The sequence below is a fragment of the Homo sapiens genome, chromosome 17, assembly GCF_000001405.40.
Source record: "Homo sapiens chromosome 17, GRCh38.p14 Primary Assembly".
Taxonomy (NCBI): Eukaryota; Metazoa; Chordata; class Mammalia; order Primates; family Hominidae; genus Homo; species Homo sapiens.
In genome coordinates this window covers 43014573-43032515 of record NC_000017.11, presented here as the reverse complement: position 1 = coordinate 43032515, position 17943 = coordinate 43014573, and the positions used below count along the sequence as shown (strand labels likewise).

The 17943-nt window shown below is 54.5% G+C and overlaps 2 protein-coding genes across 4 annotated transcripts, besides 1 other annotated feature; one reads left to right on the top strand and one right to left on the bottom strand.

Annotated features, from left to right (window-relative positions):
• On the bottom strand, positions 475–7285 carry RND2 (Rho family GTPase 2). Of its 3 annotated transcripts, none has more exons than XM_011525316.2 (6): positions 7067–7285; positions 6469–6556; positions 5224–5333; positions 4321–4455; positions 3840–4084; positions 3288–3426 (listed from the first exon to the last, which is right to left on the bottom strand). In XM_011525316.2, the coding sequence occupies exons 1-6, from the start codon at positions 7166–7168 to the stop codon at positions 3402–3404; spliced, it is 705 nt and encodes a 234-aa protein (XP_011523618.1). In that variant the 5' UTR covers positions 7169–7285; the 3' UTR covers positions 3288–3401. The 3 variants fall into 3 exon arrangements, with proteins under 3 accessions (NP_005431.1, XP_011523618.1, XP_011523619.1); XM_011525317.3 differs by lacking the exon at positions 7067–7285 and adding an exon at positions 6977–7014; NM_005440.5 differs by having other exon boundaries at positions 475–4084.
• Positions 7322–7461: a silencer, noted in NCBI's record as "silent region_8550". NCBI's record gives its function as "represses an Ori minimal core promoter by ATAC-STARR-seq in GM12878 lymphoblastoid cells {active_cell/tissue: GM12878}" and the evidence as "EXISTENCE:reporter gene assay evidence [ECO:0000049][PMID:35858748]".
• On the top strand, positions 10131–17909 carry VAT1 (vesicle amine transport 1). The gene is made up of 6 exons (NM_006373.4): positions 10131–10580; positions 13717–13924; positions 14310–14480; positions 14586–14675; positions 15968–16209; positions 16372–17909. The coding sequence occupies exons 1-6, from the start codon at positions 10194–10196 to the stop codon at positions 16453–16455; spliced, it is 1182 nt and encodes a 393-aa protein (NP_006364.2). The 5' UTR covers positions 10131–10193; the 3' UTR covers positions 16456–17909.
• The last annotated feature ends 34 nt before the right edge of the window (positions 17910–17943 follow it).

The window sequence follows — 17943 nt, the reverse complement described above, 5'->3', positions numbered from 1 at the left end:
ATCCCAGCACTTTGGGAGGCCGAGGTGGGTGGATCACGTTAGGTCGGGAGTTCAAGACTAGCCTGACCAACATGGAGAAACCCCATCTCTACTAAAAATACAAAATTAGCTGGGCATGGTGGCACATGGCTGTAATCCCAGCTACTTCAGGAAGCTGAGGCAGGAGAATCACTTGAACCCAGGAGGTGAGGTTGCCGTGAGCCGAGATCGCGCCAGTGCACTCCAGCCTGGGCAATAAGAGTGAAACTCCGTCTCAAAAAAAAAAAAAACACTAAAATTAGCTGTGCATGGTGGCGCGCGCCTGTAGTCCCAGCTACTCAGGAGACTGAGGCAGGAGAATCGCTTGAACCCAGGAGGCAGAGGTTGCAGTGAGCCGAGATGGTGCCACTGCACTCCAGCCTGAATGACAGAGTGAAACTCCGTCTCAAAAAAAAAAAAAAAAAAAAAAAAAAAACACAGAAACTCTGGCAGCCATCACAGTGTGATTATTTGTTTATTTCATTAAATGTTTAACGAGGCTACATTGTTTCCCAAACCAATGTCTAATTTGTGAAGGAAACAGCGCAGAGAAGGAAGCTGGGTGACTCCTGCATCTGGGGTGGGGAAGGGAGTAAGGTCCCCTCCCTCCATCCTACAGAGGCCTTTGAGGATCAGCAACAGTCCCATTCCCTCCTCCCACCCACTGAGCTCCTCAGCCCAGAGCCCTCCTCCCCAGAAATAAAACGTCTGGCAACCCAGACCTGCAGAAAGGGACCAAAAATCCATTCCTGGTGGTATTGAAAATGTATTAAACTTTGGGGGGTCCTCCAGCTGATTGATTTTTCTAATTATGTTTGCTTTAGATGGATATTTAAATGCATTTGCATTCCCTGAGCTCACATGGCAGGATATGGAGGTTGGAGGAAAGAGGGGGCACAAACACTCCACACTCTGCACTTTGGTGGTTGCAGGCTTGAACCTGCTATACACTGAGAAGTCCAAAGTGGAAAAGAGAAGCCACTCAGCTAAAAATCGCAAGTCGATTTTTATGGCAGGTCCTTGTGGGGAAAGGGTCAGTCCTCAGAGACAGATGGAGATCCACCTAGCTGGGCCTGGAGCCCCTGCCCTCTCCTGTACCCTTAGCCGAGGACTCAGGGTCTTTGAGTCAGTCCCTAACCAGGTCTCAGTTTGAGGGGGTGGTTATCCAAGCACACTTAGATAATTTCAAATGCCATTGAAGTTATCCTAGAATCTTTGAGACTGGCTGAGATGAACTAGTCCCATAGGAGAGGTTGGGATAGGGATATCTGATGATCCAGGGAGTGGTGGGTAGGGATTCCTTTCCTCTCAAGACTGGAACCTGGCATAAGGGAAAGGAGAAGCTATTTTTTATTTTTTATTTTTTAATTTTTTTTAGAGACAGGGTCTCACTCTGACACTCAGGCTGGAAGACAATGGCATGATCATAGCTCACTGCAGTCTCTAACTCCTGGCCTCAAGCGATCCTCCCAGCTTGGCCTCCCAAAGGAGGAATCTTGGCTGGGATTATAGGTGTGAGCCACTGCCGAGAAGCTATTATTTTAAATGACACACCTCAGAGCCAAATCTCCCAGCTCCAACACCACATCCAGATAACCATCTATCCAAAAAACAACTCTGATCACTTCACTCTCTGCCTGAAATTCCTGGTGGCTTCATCCTCTGAGGATGATTTCATTCATCCTCAGAATGAAATTCTGATTCCTCTGTGGACCCTGCAGTAGCCTCAGTGTACCTTCCTAGCCTTGTCTTCTATTCTCCCTGCCATGGGAGCCCCAACAGTGCTATGCTCATTCTCATCTCCACGTGTTTACACATGCTGTACCCTCTGCCCAGAGTGCCTTTCCTACCCCTTCCCTGCCCGGAAAACTCCTCTTCAACCCTCAGGACCTGGCTCACAGGACTGGCTTCTCAGGCTGCAAGGAGCTCCCATAGCATCCCATACATGTACAAATATCCCTCAGCCATGGCACCCTCACACCTGAGGTACCTCTCTTCCACACTGGGCTGGCCTCCAAAAGCTTAGAGACTGGTCCTTGCAATCTCCCAAGCCAGTGTATGCCACACAGTTGGTGTTCAGTACATACTTGCTGAATGAATGAATGAGGGAGGAATGGGCTATAAATTTGGGTGGGATCCCAGCAGATAGTTGGGTAAGGTCAGTGTTCTCTTCCAGTGTGTCTGGGAGAACTGGCTAGGGCTGGGGGAGGGAAGGGCCAGGGATGGTTCCTGGGGGAGAATGTCACCGAAAAGAGGCCAGTGGGACCAGAGCCAGGAAGGGAATACAGGACAATCTGAAACCAGACTCCCGAGAAAACAGACCAGTACTGTCTTTCCTGACAACAGGCGCTCAGCCGTCCTCTCCACCGTCTTTCCTTTAAGGGACAGGGTAGGGGTGACTCTAACAGCTGATGCTCCCCTGAAAGCCATCATGAAACTCAGCATGGGAGGAGAGAAAGGTCCCTGGCCTGAGCCTCTAAGGAGACCCCAGAATCAAACTACTGACCTCTTAGGAAACTTCACGCTGTACAGGGGTAGCTTCTGTGATGTGGAGGCTTTTGATGCCTTCTTTTTTTTTTTTTTTTTTTTTTTTGGAGACAGAGTCTTGCTCTGTCATCCAGGCTAGAATGCAGTGGCGCAATCTCGGCTCACTGCAAGCTCCGCCTCCCAGGTTCACCCGGGTTCACACCATTCTCCTGCCTCAGCCTCCCGAGCAGCTGGGACTACAGGCACTGCCACCGCGCCTGGCTAATTTTTTGTATTTTTAGTAGAGATGGGGTTTCACCGTGTTAGCCAGGATGGTCTCGATCTCCTGAACTTGTGATCCGCCCACCTCGGCCTCCCAAAGTGCTGGGATTACAGGCGTGAGCCAGCGCGCCCGGCCTGATGCCTCCTTATCCCCACAACCCCCAGGGTACCAGCAGGCTCCAAGCCAGGGGTACAGATGGTGAGCAGGACCCCTCCCACACTAGCAGCAGGCCTGGCTGGGCTGAGAAATGCTGACTAATTATATGTCGGTCTGCTCTAAAACCCCCTAATGGCCTGAGAATTGCCCACTTCATTAACTAGGATGAACAGTCCCAGGATGTCTCCTTCTCCCAACTCTGACTCCTAAAAGGACACTTCTGATCCAACCTATGGCTTTGTCCTCTGCTCTATCTGTGGACATGGACAGGAAAGTTCCCCAGCTGAGGTCTAACTTTCCCTCTTACTGCTAAAGATTGGTAGATTGATTTTTTTAAAAAGCAACAAAACTAAAGCCACAGCCGTTTTCCATGGAGGTGGGCTTTATTAGGTGACTGTTGAGGCAAGGGAGGTTCTAGGGCTGGTGGACTGATGGGGGGCAAGGGCTTCTCCTTGCTTTTGAATTTAGTGCATGTTGCCTAGAGGTTAGATGTGTGAGAATAGCTGCAGAAGTGAGAGGAGAGGAAAAGAGAAGGTCATAGAATGGACATTTTCCTTGGGCCAGAACCAGGATATGGGGACTGGGGGTGGAGAGGGAGGGTACTCTTCACATAGGAGACTCCACCAAGGTCACCATTTGATACCAGCTTCCCTAACGCCCACCTGCCCCATCCCAGTTCATGCCCCAGATGCCAGCCCTGTTAGCTCCCTCAACATCCACTGGAGAAGAGGAGGGAGGAGGAGATGAGAAACGATGATACCCTTCTGCCCTCCAGCTCCCCTGCCCAGAATTGCTCGCTCTGCCTGCCCTAACTTCCCAGCCAGGATCAGGAGGTCAGGAAGCCTGGGCGCAGGCAGGGGAACAATTGTGTCCCTCACCACCCCTCTTCACACTCTGCCCTCTCCTAGCCCCTCACATGAGGTTGCAGCTTTTGGCTCGATCCTTGTGTATCTCGCCCTCATTCCCCCGGTCTGGCCGTCCTGACAGCTGAGCGGATCGCTGCATTCCCCGGCGTGAGTCAGTTCGGCGCAGCTGCCTATGGCCACGGCCAAGGGAGGCCACTGTAGCCACATGGAAGACATCCCTGACGCTGCGCTCAGAGGACCGGGAGGAGCACTCAACATAGGACACAGCCCCCACCTGCTTGGCCAGCACAGTGCCCTGGAAAAGGAAGGAGTGCATGGGAGAAAGTTATAGGTCTTAGCCTGCAGCTTAGAAAGGGGCATGGAGGCTGTGGGCTGGGGTTGAATGTCAAGGCTGGGGGCAGTCAAGGGATCAGGTCAGAGGTCACAGACCAGAACAAAGGATGAGCCAGGTAAGGTGTTTTCAAATCAGAGACTGAAGGGGCAGAGGTGACAGGTCTAGGCTGGGATGAGGTCAGACGTCAAGGGTCCCACCTGCTCATGTGTAACAGGGATAAGCCTCTGCTTGGACAGCTCCCTCAGTGTGGCCAGGTCAGTCCGCATGTCCAGTTTACAGCCAACCAGCACAACCTTGGCATTGGGGCAGAACTCTTGAGTCTCTCCTTGCCACTATGTAGGAGAAGAAAAGAGAATTGTGGAGGGGTGGAGGGAGGCACAGCGTGAGCCTTTGTGCCATGCCAGCAGTGTGCCCTCTCTTCCTCAAGCACGCAGAAACCATGTATCCCTCAGGACTCTCCCACATGAGGAAGGAGGTGAGAATGCTAGGCTTGGTTTGAGAGCAGGATGGGGTGAGAGAGAAGCAGCGGGGAGGAGAGGGCTGGCGTGGGCCTGTGGACTCTTCTCCCTCAGTGGCTATGAAGGGTCTGCCAGCCTGGAAACTTCCCATTCCCACTCGCCTTTCCCATACTCTCTCCTGGGAACAAATTTATCCCACCCTCCCCTCCCCCACCTGGGAACTGGGGCTGCCCTAGCTGACTTCTGTCCATTCACCCCTGGCTTTTGTCATGGAAACTGGGGCCTGGAGAGGAGGCCACAGGGCTTTCCTGAGCTCCAGGATCAGGCTTCCCATCCCATCCCCTCCATCTGGGACTCCCACTGCCAAGGAGTTGGAAGAGCAGAGAAGGAATCCTGTGAGTGCTTCTCCCTTCACTCCCCCACCTCCCCTAGCTGCTGTATCCAGCTCTGAGGACTTTCAGGAAAGGGGTGGCTGGGAGGGATGGGGGCTGGAGGCAGGGGTGGCAGGGATGAGAGCTTCACTCGCTAACCAGCTGATGGCCATACCCCAGCCATCACTCCCTCCTCCTGGCCCATGTTATGTCAGGACCATGGTGGTCTGGTCCCCCTCAGTCTAGCTGCCCTATTTCCCCAGGCTCCCACCTTCTTGAGAACACTGTCCAGTGTTTCTGGTCGGCTAATGTCGAAGCAGATGAGCACAGCATCAGAATCAGGATAGGCCAGAGGCCGGACATTATCATAGTAAGAGGAACCTGAAGGAAGACAGGGCATGAGGGGCCTGAGTGGATGGGAGGCCTGGAAGGGAATGGGAGACCTTACAGATCCTGGTCAAGGGATGCTGGGAGCAGAGAATGGAAAAGAGCAACCATTAATACCCATCATTAATACCCATCATGGAGTCTGGGTTTCCCAAGTGGGGGAGCGGGCAGAAGGGAGGTCACATGGTGGGAAACGGCTCTCTGCTTCCCTAGTGGTTTAAAAAGTAATAATTTTTATTCTTGACTGAGGTTTGGACCCCTTTGAGAAGCTCATAAAATCTATAGACATTCTCATAAAATGTTGCATGTGCTTTCTGGGCTTTGGCAGTCTAAAGCCCTGAAGGGAACTCTTGTAAAAATAAAAACCCTCCTTATGTTGGGAGGAGGAAAAGAGCAGTGGCAGGGAGAGCACTCTCCCATTCTCCTGGGACTTGACCTCAGATTTATCTAGTTCAATGGAGAGAAACAGCCTCCTGACCACCCCTCACTCAAGACATTCTAAATGTCTTTTCTGCTTTTTTATTTTTTGAGATGGAGTCTCGCTCTATCGCTCAGGCTGGAGTGCAGCGGCATGATCTCGGCTCACTGCAGCCTCCGCCTCCCAGGTTCCAGCGATTCTCTTGCCTCAGCCTCCTGGTAGCTGAGATTACAGGCACGTGCCACACGCCCGATTAATTTTTGTATTTTTAGTAGAGACGGAGTTTCAACCATGTTGGCCAGGCTGGTCTCAAACTCCTGACCTCAGGTGATCCCCCCACCCCAGCCTCCCAAAGTGCTAGGATTACAGGCGTGAGCCACCGTGCCTGGCCTCTAAATGTCTTTTCTAAACCCAGTCTTATCTCTGAAGGAACATGTTCCAAATTAAAAGCCATTCCTTCCCAACTTTCCCAGGTAGGCAGGACCCAGCTGAGGGGCTCAGATCCTAGGCTTTCTCCTTCAGGACATGGTTTCTGTCAGGCTCTGCAAGTTCTACCTCAGTTTCCCTGGATTTTAGCAGAATATTGATTTTTCCCTTCCTGTTGGAATTGGATGGATGGGCTGGGCTTACCTGGAACCTAAGGGTCTAACCAAGGGAGGGGACAGAGTGGGCCGCCTTGGAAGTCAGGGTGACCCCCAGGGACTTGGCTACCTGAAGTGTCCCACATGTTGAGCTCAATGCGGCGCTTGTCGATCTCAAAGCTCGCAGTGTAGTTCTCAAACACGGTGGGGACATAACTCTGCAGACACGGATGGATCCAGATGAGATCATCTCTCCAAGTCCTCACCCCAGATAAATGCCCTCCTCACTCCCACACCCCGTCCAGCCCAGCCCCTGGACACAAGTTGGTCTGGGATTGGGCAAAGGGGAGATCCCGGGAGCTCCTGCCCCCCCCCCCCCCCCCCCGGAGAATCTCTGCTAAGCTCCCAGACCTCCTCCTGTTCCCTTCTGGTCCCTTCAGCCCCCTAGTTCTTCCCCTCTCCATTGCCCAGGACCTCCGACATTCCCCTCGCCCTCCCTCCCGGATGCTCTGGTTCTCCCAAACCCCATCTATCTCACCCTGCTCCCTAATTCCTCCCACCCCAATCCTCTGCAGTCCTTCCTGAGCCCTCAAGGCCTCCCCGCGTCCTCCGACCCCCTGTCTCTTGTCCCTGGTTACCCGAGTACCCATTCCCATCCGTCGCCAGGGCCCCTGTCACCCACCCCCCAGCAGCCTTAGCGTCCCCCTCCCAAGACGCAGGTCCCTCACCCCGGGATAGGCGTCCTTGGCGAACACCTGCAGCAGCGCCGTCTTGCCGCACTCTGCGTCTCCCACCACCACGATCTTGCAGCGGCCGCTCTGCCCCTCCATGGTCCCGGCTACGCGCCGGTCCCCCACGCCACCCCTCTCCCGGGCCCCGCCGCCGCCTCCCCCGCCCCTGCAACTGCAGCCGCTCGGGCCGCCAACACCGGCATCTCGCGGGCCCGCGCCGAGCCCCCGCCCCGGGTCCGCGGCCCCCCCTCCGCCCCGCCCCCAGCCAGGCGGCCGCGCCCCCCCGGCCCCTCCTCCCACCCCCGCAGCCGGGGGGCGGGGCCCAGAAGATCTGGGCGGAGCCCTGGGAACAGAGGCCTCAGAGCCGGGGTCCAGCCCGCCGGTGTGGTCTGAGGGGCCCCTGCCGGTTTGGGACAGGCCGAACTGGGCTTATTTGACTTTCTCGGATATAAGGGCAGGTCAGAGTTCAAGCGAAGTTCTTAGGGGTAGAATATGAGCGGCACAAGCGCGAAGCTCGGGCCTGCTGTGTACCCACGCGTGCACGCAGGTGTACCAGTGCGGACAAGAGCTGGGGCAGCCATCCACTTCCTGAACACGGCGGGAGAGAGATGCTAAGGGGAAGGAGGGAGCCTCTTTGGTTTTCTCTCCCGCGTCCGCCTATGTCCTGGCAGGGGGTCTTGGGGAAATGGGAGGGTGAACCCCAGCACACCCACCCGGACGGTGGTGACATCATAGCTTTCCGTCCCCATGGCAACGGGCAGCCGGGTCTCCGGTTACATTGACTTAACCGCCGGCCTAGACTAGCAGAGAAGCGTGGACTGAGTTCCTCCAGCCAAGCACTGGGTGGAAAGTTTTGGGGGAGCTGCGTCCTCTGGTGGATGCTTGGGGACAAGGAGATAAGGAAGAGAAAGAACCAACCGCCAGAGTTGCTCTGCTGGAGCCAGAGCTAAACCCAAAAGTCAGGCTTGATTAAGAGTCTGACAATAGGCCGGGCGCGGTGGCTCACGCCTGTAATACCAGCACTTTGGGAGGCCGAGGCGGGCGGATCAAGAGGTCAGGAGATCGAGACTATCATCCTGGCTAACACGGTGAAACCCGCACGGTGGGCGCCTGTAATCCCAGCTACTCAGGAGGCTGAGGCAGGAGAATGGCGTGAACCCGGGAGGCGGAGCTTGCAGTGAGCCGAGATTGCCTCACTGCACTCCAGCTTGTGCAATAGAGTTTCGAAAAAAAAAAAGTGCTTTTTTATATCGAGGCAATTCGAGTCAATAATATATGCTGCAAATAATTCTGTAAAGATAACTAGAAGCTGGGCGCGGTGGCTCACGCCTGTAAACTCAGCACTTTGGGAGGCCAAGGCTTGCTTGCGTGCAGGAGTTTGAGGCCATCCTGGGCAACATTAGCGAGACCCTCTCTCTAGAAAAAAAAATCAAAACTTAGCTAGGTTTGGCCACTCTAGGCACGCTGCCTATGGGGTAGCCCTGCTCTGCAAAGAGCAGTAAAACATAAAGTTAGCCGGGCGTGGTGACACATGCCTGTGGTCCCAGCTATTCAGGAGGCTGAGGTGGGAGGATTGCTTGAAGCCGGGAGTTTGAGGCTGTAGGGAGCTGTGATCGCCCCACCTCGCTCAGCCTGGGTGACAGAGTGAGACCCTGTATCAAAAAAATAAAAATATAAATATAACTAGAGCACGCAGCATCATCACTATGTTACAGAAGGGAAAATGAGGAACAGAACGTTAACACCAAAGTCAGAAAGTTTTAAAGGCTTGGTCTCCATGCTTCTACTTTGCCACTGCAAGACCACAGTGAATTAAGTCTCATCCCTGCCTGGGTTAGATGTCAGAGCCTGAGACACAATGTAGTTGGACTCCAGTCCACAGGTGGCTGACTCCAAATCTGATATGAGTTAACTCCAAATCTGATGTAAGTTCAAGTTTTGGGACTGTTCCTTAACTTTTTTTTTTTTTTTTTGAGACGGAGTCTCGCTCTGTAGCCCAGGCTGGAGTGCAGTGGCGCGATCTCGACTCACTGCAAGCTCTGCCTCCTGGGTTCATGCCATTCTCCTGCCTCAGCCTCCCAGGTAGCTGGGACTACAGGCGCCTGCCACCACGCCTGGCTAATTTTTTGTATTTTTTAGTAGAGACGGGGTTTCACCGTGTTAGCCAGGTGAATCTCCTGACCTCGTAATCTGCCCGCCTCGGCCTCCCAAAGTGCTGGGATTACAGGCGTGAGACACCGCGCCCGGCCTTTTTTTTTTTCGAGATGGAGTCTCCCTCTGTAGCCCAGGCTGGAGTGCAGCGGCATGATCTTGGCTAACTGCAACCTCCGCCTCCTGGGTTCAAGCAATTCTCCAGCCTCCGCCTCCCTAGTAGCTGGGACTATAGGCACCTGCCACCATGCCTGGCTAATTTTTGTAGTTTTAGTAGAGCTGGGGTTTCACCATACTGGTCAGGCTGGTCTCGAATTCCTGACCTCAGGTGATCCACCCACCCGCCTCGGCCTCCCAAAGTGTTGGGATTACAGGCGTGAGCCACGCCGCCCGGCCCTTTTTTTTTTTTTTTTTAACAGGGTCTCACTCTGTTGCCCAGACTGGAGTGTAGTGGCGCGATCTCGGCTCACCTCCGCCTCCCAGGCTCAAGCGATTCCTCTGCCTCAGCCTCCCAAGTAGCTGAGATTACAGGCGCGCGCCACTACCGCCCGGCTAACTTTTTTATTTTTAGTAAAGACGGGGGTTTCACCATGTTGGCCAGGCTGGTCTTGAACTCCTGACCTCAAATGATCCACCAGCCTCGGCCTCCCAAAGTGCTGGGATTACAGGCGTGAGCCACCGCGCCAGGCCTATCCCTTAAAATAGTTTTTAATTTGAATAAGGTTTACTATGAATAAATAAATCACAGTCGGCTTGATCCCAAGAGCACAGACGTTCCTGGTGCCCCTTTTCGTGCTCTCCCAGCTTGCGCCACTATGGCCCTGGCCCTTTAAGGCTGAGCGCGAGGCCCCGCCTCGCCCGGCGCCCCGCCCCTCCCGCTGGATCCCGCAGCCGCGGCTCTTCCCGACGCGTTCCGCCTTCCCCAGCTGTGCACTCTCCATCCAGCTGTGCGCTCTCGTCGGGAGTCCCAGCCATGTCCGACGAGAGAGAGGTAGCCGAGGCAGCGACCGGGGAAGACGCCTCTTCGCCGCCTCCGAAAACCGAGGCAGCGAGCGACCCCCAGCATCCCGCGGCCTCCGAAGGGGCCGCCGCCGCCGCCGCCTCGCCGCCACTGCTGCGCTGCCTAGTGCTCACCGGCTTTGGAGGCTACGACAAGGTGAAGCTGCAGAGCCGGCCGGCAGCGCCCCCGGCCCCTGGGCCCGGCCAGCTGACGCTGCGTCTGCGGGCCTGCGGGCTCAACTTCGCAGACCTCATGGCTAGGCAGGGGCTGTACGACCGTCTCCCGCCTCTGCCTGTCACTCCGGGCATGGAGGGCGCGGGTGTTGTGATCGCAGTGGGCGAGGGAGTCAGCGACCGCAAGGTGAGCGGGTTGCGTAGGGCAGGGCAGGGCTGCGCAGGCCACTGGGCAGTGGGGCACGAGTGGGCGAGCGCCGGGGGTGTGGCAGGGCGGGAGAAACTGGCGCGGACCTGGGTGCACGAGCGTGGAAAGCGTAGCCAAGGAACTTGTGTTTGGGGGCTCCTGGAGAGCGGCATTTATGTGGGGAGGGGAGACGAAATTATCGCCCCTTCCCCAACCATTTTTAGTTGTGGCCGCCGCCCAGAAGCTGTGCTGGTGGGGGGGAAAACAATAAGGTGCCCATGCGCATGCGCACAACCACACTACCGTCCCCACCCCCCCCCCCCCCCCCCATTAAAACCACACCTGTACCCCTACCCACCAAACACTCTCTGGGTAATTGTGGTCTGTGACTATGAGTGACGGTTAGTGCCCCCTTTCCCCGAGGGAGCTTGAGGGGCTATGTCGTCGGGGTTGGGCGGGGGCACAGCGGCCGTGCCAGAGTCCTGGTCACATGCAGCCCCGTGGTCTGTGGGGGTGTGAGGCGGCCCCTCCCAAAGCAAGGCCAAAGAGACGAGACACGCCCATCACGGAGGAGAGAGAGCCTTTGCTACCCCACCGCCACCAGCCTTACACCGCCGATCTGATTTTGGGGTGGGGGAGGCGGGATTGGGTCATCCGATCTTTGTCTTGGGCTCTGTGTCTCCCGTGACTGCAGTATCTCCTCCTCCTGTGACTCAGCCCTCAGCCTTCGGGCCACGACCCGGGGCTGCCCTTGGGAATGCCTGGGGCGGGGAGTGGAAGGGGGGACCCACCTCTGCCTTCCTCCTGCAGAGGACCCCCACTTCAGAAACCCCAGTGCCAGGGGTTTGGACTGGAACGGAGAGGTGCGGCGCCTTGAACTGGTTGGCCAAGTCTGCAGGCCTGTTTCTCCTTCTCATTTATCATTAATCTTGGCCACAACCCTGGACACCAGAGAGCTCAAAATGATCAGCTTTTTGAGAGACCTGGGATGAGGCCTCAGCACGCCATTTGTTTAGAGGTTTCTTTTTTTTTTCTTTTTCTTTTTTTTTTTTTTTTTTTTTAGACGGAGTTTCGCTCTTGTTGCCCAGGCTGGAGTGCAATGGCGCGATCTCGGCTCACCGCAACCTCTGCCTCCCGGGTTCAAGCGATTCTCCTGCCTCAGCCTCTCGAGTAGCTGGGATTACAGGCATGCGCCACCATGCCTGGCTAATTTTGTATTTTAGTAGAGATGGGTTTCTCCATGTCGGTCAGTCTGGTCTCGAACTCCCGACCTCAGGTGATCTGCCCACCTCGGCCTCCCTAAGTGCTGGGGTTACAGACATAAGCCACTGCGCTTGGCCAGGAGTTTCCTTTTTAAATCAGACCCCTCAATGAGAGGCCCCACAGATGCAGCCTCTTGCAGACCTGCCAGCCCAATTCTGGAGCCAGGTTTGTTGGATTCATCCTGTATGCAAACAGCTTCTCCTTAAGGCTTTCCTCTGAATTCAGCTCTGGCCCCACCCTCAAACTGACTTCTAAATGATCCCACTCTTGAGCAGGCGTCTAAGAGGAATATTTTCGGGAGGTAGTTGTAGTTCATGTTACTGCTGAAGGCCACCCACCTCACCTCCCCTCCATACACTTTCCGCCTGGTAAATACAGGATATCCTGTCCAGGGCAAGAATCTGATGTAAGAGCCTGGATTCTGCGGGGAGGGCCCTTCCCTCTCTCTCCCTCCTCCTCCTTCCTGGTGTCTGGGTTGGGGAGGGGTCATGGCCCTGATTTGGATGGCCTGAGGGTTAGCATGAGCCAGGGTAAGTGAGACTTGTTCTGGGTCAAATCTGGGACTGGCCATGACCCTAAATGACCAATGCACTCCTCGCAGCTCTCCTGGGTTGTTCTGTATCTGCTAGTCCTGAGTCCCTGGGTGGAGGGCTTCCGTTCTTGTTCTCCAGACCTCATCTCAGGCCAGAACTTGGAAGGAAAGACCCCAGCATGCCCTCAGTTCTCGTATTCAGTGGAGTGTGGGGGCTTGAGGACATGAAAAAGGGCGTAAGTGGCAGTCCCATCCCCCTTCCCCATGGACCCTAACTCTTGTTAATATACAGAATTCCCATCATTCCTGGCAGGGATCAAGACAGACCCAGATTGTCCCAGAACAGCACCCACACCTCCCTCTTCATGCTCTTCAGAGAGCGCAGAGAAGTCTTTTCTCCTGACGCTCCCTCCTTTTCCCTGCCCTTCCCTTGACCCCACTTGCTAAGCTGGAGAGAAAGGTTCTGTTATCTTTGTCCCCTTTCCCTCCTGCACAGAGGCTCTCGTGGGGGTGGGGGGGAAGCCTTTTACTGCTGCGTAGGCCTCTGTAGCCCTTCTTGTCTGTTGCCCCTCCTGCACCATCTCTGAGTGAAGATGTTTTCTGGGCTCCCAGTGCTGGCTCAAACACACTTCTCCCGAGGTGACCACACCCTGCTGTAAGCGCTCAGAGAACTTTGCCTGCACTTTGGTATGGCCCTGACCACACAGTGCCGTCTTCTTTTGGTTGTGTGACTTCCTTGCTGCTATTATATTATTATTATTATTATTGTTAGCTAACATTATTAAGTGCTTATTATGTGCCAGACATTGTGCTAAAATTTTTTTTTTCCATTTGGAAAAACTGCCCTAATTGACAGATAAGAAAACTGGAGCTGGAAAAGTGGAGCTCAAAAAGATTAAGTAATTTTTATGCATCCGAAGTCACACAGTCAGTAAACAGTTGAGACCGCTTTTGTAACCACAGCAGTTTGATCTTTTCCACAATACTTCATGCTGCCCTAACTGTAAGCTTCTTGCATTCAGGGATCTTACACAATAGTGACATGTAAGATCTGTAAGAAGATGATAAGGATAGTATCTGCCTCAAAGAACTGATGTAAGGGTTAATTAAGCATTATATATAAAGCACTTGAAATCGGGCTCGGCCCTCAGTCAGCACTCAGTAAAGGTGAGTTGTTATTGTTGTTGATGATGATGTTATTATTATTATTATTACCATGACTATTGCTGCTTCTCCTGCTACTTCATTTGGAAGAAGGTAGCCTTGTACCTAGGGGGAAATCAGTAAATAGCCTGTGGGTGAATGAATGAGTGACTGAATGATACTCTTCTGTTCTTCAAGGCAGGAGACCGGGTGATGGTGTTGAACCGGTCAGGGATGTGGCAGGAAGAGGTGACTGTGCCCTCGGTCCAGACCTTCCTGATTCCTGAGGCCATGACCTTTGAGGAAGCTGCTGCCTTGCTCGTCAATTACATTACAGCCTACATGGTCCTCTTTGACTTCGGCAACCTACAGCCTGGCCACAGCGTCTTGGTACACATGGCTGCAGGTGACAGGTCCCCTCACTTTATCACCCCTTACCCCACCCAGATTTCCTTCCAGGCCCCTTCCCTGCAGCCTGTCTGGGTTGTTGTCATGGCAACACCAGGCTGCCTTGGCCTGTGGCTCCCAGAGGCCTCTGCTGTGTAGTTGCCGTGGTAACATTCAGGCACCAGGTCTAGTCTGGTGTGCTATCCTTAGCAACGTGCCCTCACCCCACACCCCCACCTCTCTAGCTACCTTCCCCACCACTTCTCAGTCATGGAAATTAGACACGGCCCTAAAATGAGCGTAGGCAAAATGAAGGTGACAGGCTGAGTCCCTGGGAGGCTAGAATGGAGTGGTTGGTGGCCAGGGCAACTCCATATCCCCTGCTTATGGGTGTCTTGCTGCAGGGGGTGTGGGTATGGCTGCCGTGCAGCTGTGCCGTACAGTGGAGAATGTGACAGTGTTCGGAACGGCCTCGGCCAGCAAGCACGAGGCACTGAAGGAGAATGGGGTCACACATCCCATCGACTATCACACGACTGACTACGTGGATGAGATCAAGAAGATTTCCCCTAAAGGTGGGGGGCATAATATGGGAGGGGGTAGGGAGGCACAGGACAGGGAGGGGAGCTCCAGATCTGTGGATCCTAATGTTGTTCTTGGGTTCCCCTACTCTATGACAGGAGTGGACATTGTCATGGACCCTCTGGGTGGGTCAGATACTGCCAAGGGCTACAACCTCCTGAAACCCATGGGCAAAGTCGTCACCTATGGTGAGTTAGTGGGCCAGGGATGGAGAGAGCATGTGAGGGCAGGAGGGAGGGTCTAAGGGGTGGGATATAGAGGCCAGGGCTTTTGAATGAAGAAGGGGTAGGGACTCAGGTGCTCTGTAGACGATCAGGGTTAGGAATGGTCCTGTATGCTGCATTCAGATTGCTGACTCTTGGGTACCAGCTCTTTTCATTCTCTGTCACAACTTTTCATATGAGTGATAGTAAATTCTACATTCTTTTTTTTTTTTTTTTTTTTTTGAGATGGAGTTTCGCTCTTGTCGCCCAGGCTGGAGTGCAATGGCATGATCTCGATCAGTGCAACCTCTGCCTCCTGGGTTCAAGCGATTCTCCTGCCTCACCCTCCCGAGTAGCTGGAATTACAGGTGTCTGCCACCACGCCCAACTAATTTTTGTATTTTTAGTAGAGGCGGTGTTTCACCATGTTGGCCAGGCTGGTCTTGAACTCCTGATCTCAGGTGATCCAGCCGCCTCAGCCTCCCAAAGTGCTGGGATTATAGGCGTGAGCCACCACGCCTGGCCAAATTCTACATTCTTGTTTGGGGATTATTCTTGAACAACCAGCCTGCCTTCTTTCTGTCCTACCTCCCTGAGCATCTTAGGCAGGGTGCATTTTCATTTAAAAAAGTATTTCATACAACAAAATAAGCCAGGCATGGTGGCTCATGCCTGTAATCCCAGCACTTTGGAAGGCCAGGGCAGGCAGATGGCTTGAGCCTAGAACCCGCCTCCCGGGTTCAAGCGATTCTCCTGCCTCAGACTTCCTGAGTAGCTGGGATTACAGGCATGTACCACCATGCCCAGCTAATTTTGTATTTTCAGTAGAGACGGGGTTTCTCCATGTTGGTCACGCTGGTCTCGAACTCCTGACGTCCAGTGATCCGCCCACCTCGGCCTCCCAAAGTGCTGGGATTATAGGCGTGAGCCACCATACCCGGCCAACACCTGGCTAATTTTCGTATTTTTTAGTAGAGACAAGGTTTCACCATTTTGGGCAGGCTGGTCTCGAACTCCTGACCTCAAGTGATCCCCCCACCTTGGCTTCCCAGAGTGCTGGGATTATGGATGTGAGCCATAGCACCCAGCCCCTAGAGCAATTTAAAGTCAGCCAGGGTTGGTTTGGGCCTGGTAACCAGCAGTTTGAGAATTATCCAATCACTCCCTGGCACTGGTGTGGAGAATTGCAAGGGGATCACAGGGAACAGAGAGCACAGATGCAGACACACAGGGATGTGCCTGGGGGGGTTCACAGGCTATGTCACCTTGTCCTTCAGGAATGGCCAACCTGCTGACGGGCCCCAAACGGAACCTGATGGCCCTGGCCCGGACATGGTGGAATCAGTTCAGCGTGACAGCTCTGCAGCTGCTGCAGGCCAACCGGGCTGTGTGTGGCTTCCACCTGGGCTACCTGGATGGTGAGGTGGAGCTGGTCAGTGGTGTGGTGGCCCGCCTCCTGGCTCTGTACAACCAGGGCCACATCAAGCCCCACATTGACTCAGTCTGGCCCTTCGAGAAGGTGAATGTGAGGACTTTGCAGGGAGGGCTTGGGTAGGACTCATGAAGGCTGGGGTCCCAAGGGGCAGATTCCTGGGGAAGAGGAGGGCTGCCTGCATCACACTGGCTCTTGTTGGATGAGGGTTGGATAGCACTGGGAGCCGCATCTTTCCTTCCTCCCCAGGTGGCTGATGCCATGAAACAGATGCAGGAGAAGAAGAATGTGGGCAAGGTCCTCCTGGTTCCAGGGCCAGAGAAGGAGAACTAGGGCAAGTGGCTGTGAGACCCTAGAGACCAGCGAAGGGAGAAGTTGGGAAGCTACGTTCTGTTGGCCACCAGACTTGCATTTCAGCCTCTGTCATAATGCTCTGCCCTCCCTCCCCCGAAGGTCTCTGTGGTGATGACCGCTCTCCCCTGCCCCTCCCCGCTTCCTGACCTCTGAAGAGGTTGGGAAGTGACCATTTGGATGTCTGGGCCCTGCCAAGGCGACAGGGAGGGTCAGAGGGAGGCCGGCTGCTTCCTGCCCCCACCCTTTCCCCGGGCCTGCTGTGCTGCTTTTGTGCCAAGGTTAGCCAGTCCCCCCTGTTGTGTTCCATGTGCTTTCACCTCTGCCTCATCTTTCCTCCCGTCCCTGCCCCGCCACCTCCCCAAAGAATTGAAACGTCAGCTCAGGATATGGGGCCAATCTCTGTGAGTCCAGCATGTACCTGTCTCTCCCTAGTGTCCCTTCAGCCTGGGCTGACCAGTGCCCGCCTCTGGGCTTGACCAGTTCCCAATCTCGTCCTCTGTCCCCAACTTCTTAAGCACAATTGGGCTTCTTCCATCTCCAGGTTTTCTGCCATTCTTAACCAAGGCTGCCTCTTCCAACAGGGCGGGAATCAGACCTACTCCCCTAGGTCACAACTCTGGGAAGGATACAGAGCCCCCACCCTTCACTGAGTTCTCTGGATTTGTTCTCAGTGCCTTAGCAACGAAAACCTGTGCTTGTGTGTGTGTGGCGGCGGGGAGGGAGGATCCTGTTTCCCACCTCCTTCTCCTCCCCTGTACTCCCCAGTGCCTTCCTTGTTCTGGTGGAGCTGGGGTTTCTCTCCTCCCCAGTCCCACAACACTGCCAAAAATCTGTGTATGTGCCATTGGGTGGGGCAGCCCCAAGCCTCCTGGGGAGGCAGGGCAAAAACAGGTGCCCTCATCGTGGTCTGTGCCATGTCCCGTCTCTATGGTGGTTGAGGAGAAAGGCGGGGAAGCTTCCTCAGCCTTGCAGATATGTGTGGCATTTACTAGCCAGAGCTCTGAAAGGCAGTGCTGTCTGTTTCTTGTACTGGGACCAAAGTAAAAATCCAAGCACATTCCCCTTGCAGTTAGGGGAGGCCCTACTGCCTTCTCAAAGCAGAGAGGCAGCTTATCAAACTCAGCCCAAAACTCTGTTTACATGGGTGGGGAGATGGAGCAGGGAAGTACAGAGTGGGATGGTCAGGACCTGGGCCATTGCAACCAAAATGGGGACTTCCTGGGTAGGGAGGTCACTCCCTCTACTCACTGAGCTAGGATTAGGGAGGGTTATTGCCCCAACCATTGCAATGGGAGGTGGAGGGACAGGCTCAGCCTCCTCATTGTCTAAATGAGGCCTAAATGTGTGAAGTGCGATTTCTGCTTTTGTGTACCCCACCACCCCATTACCACAGCTGCCTTTGTGTGTTTGTGTCAATAAAAAGCCAAACCCTGGGTCCTGCTTGTTGCCTCTGAGAGTGGAGGGAAG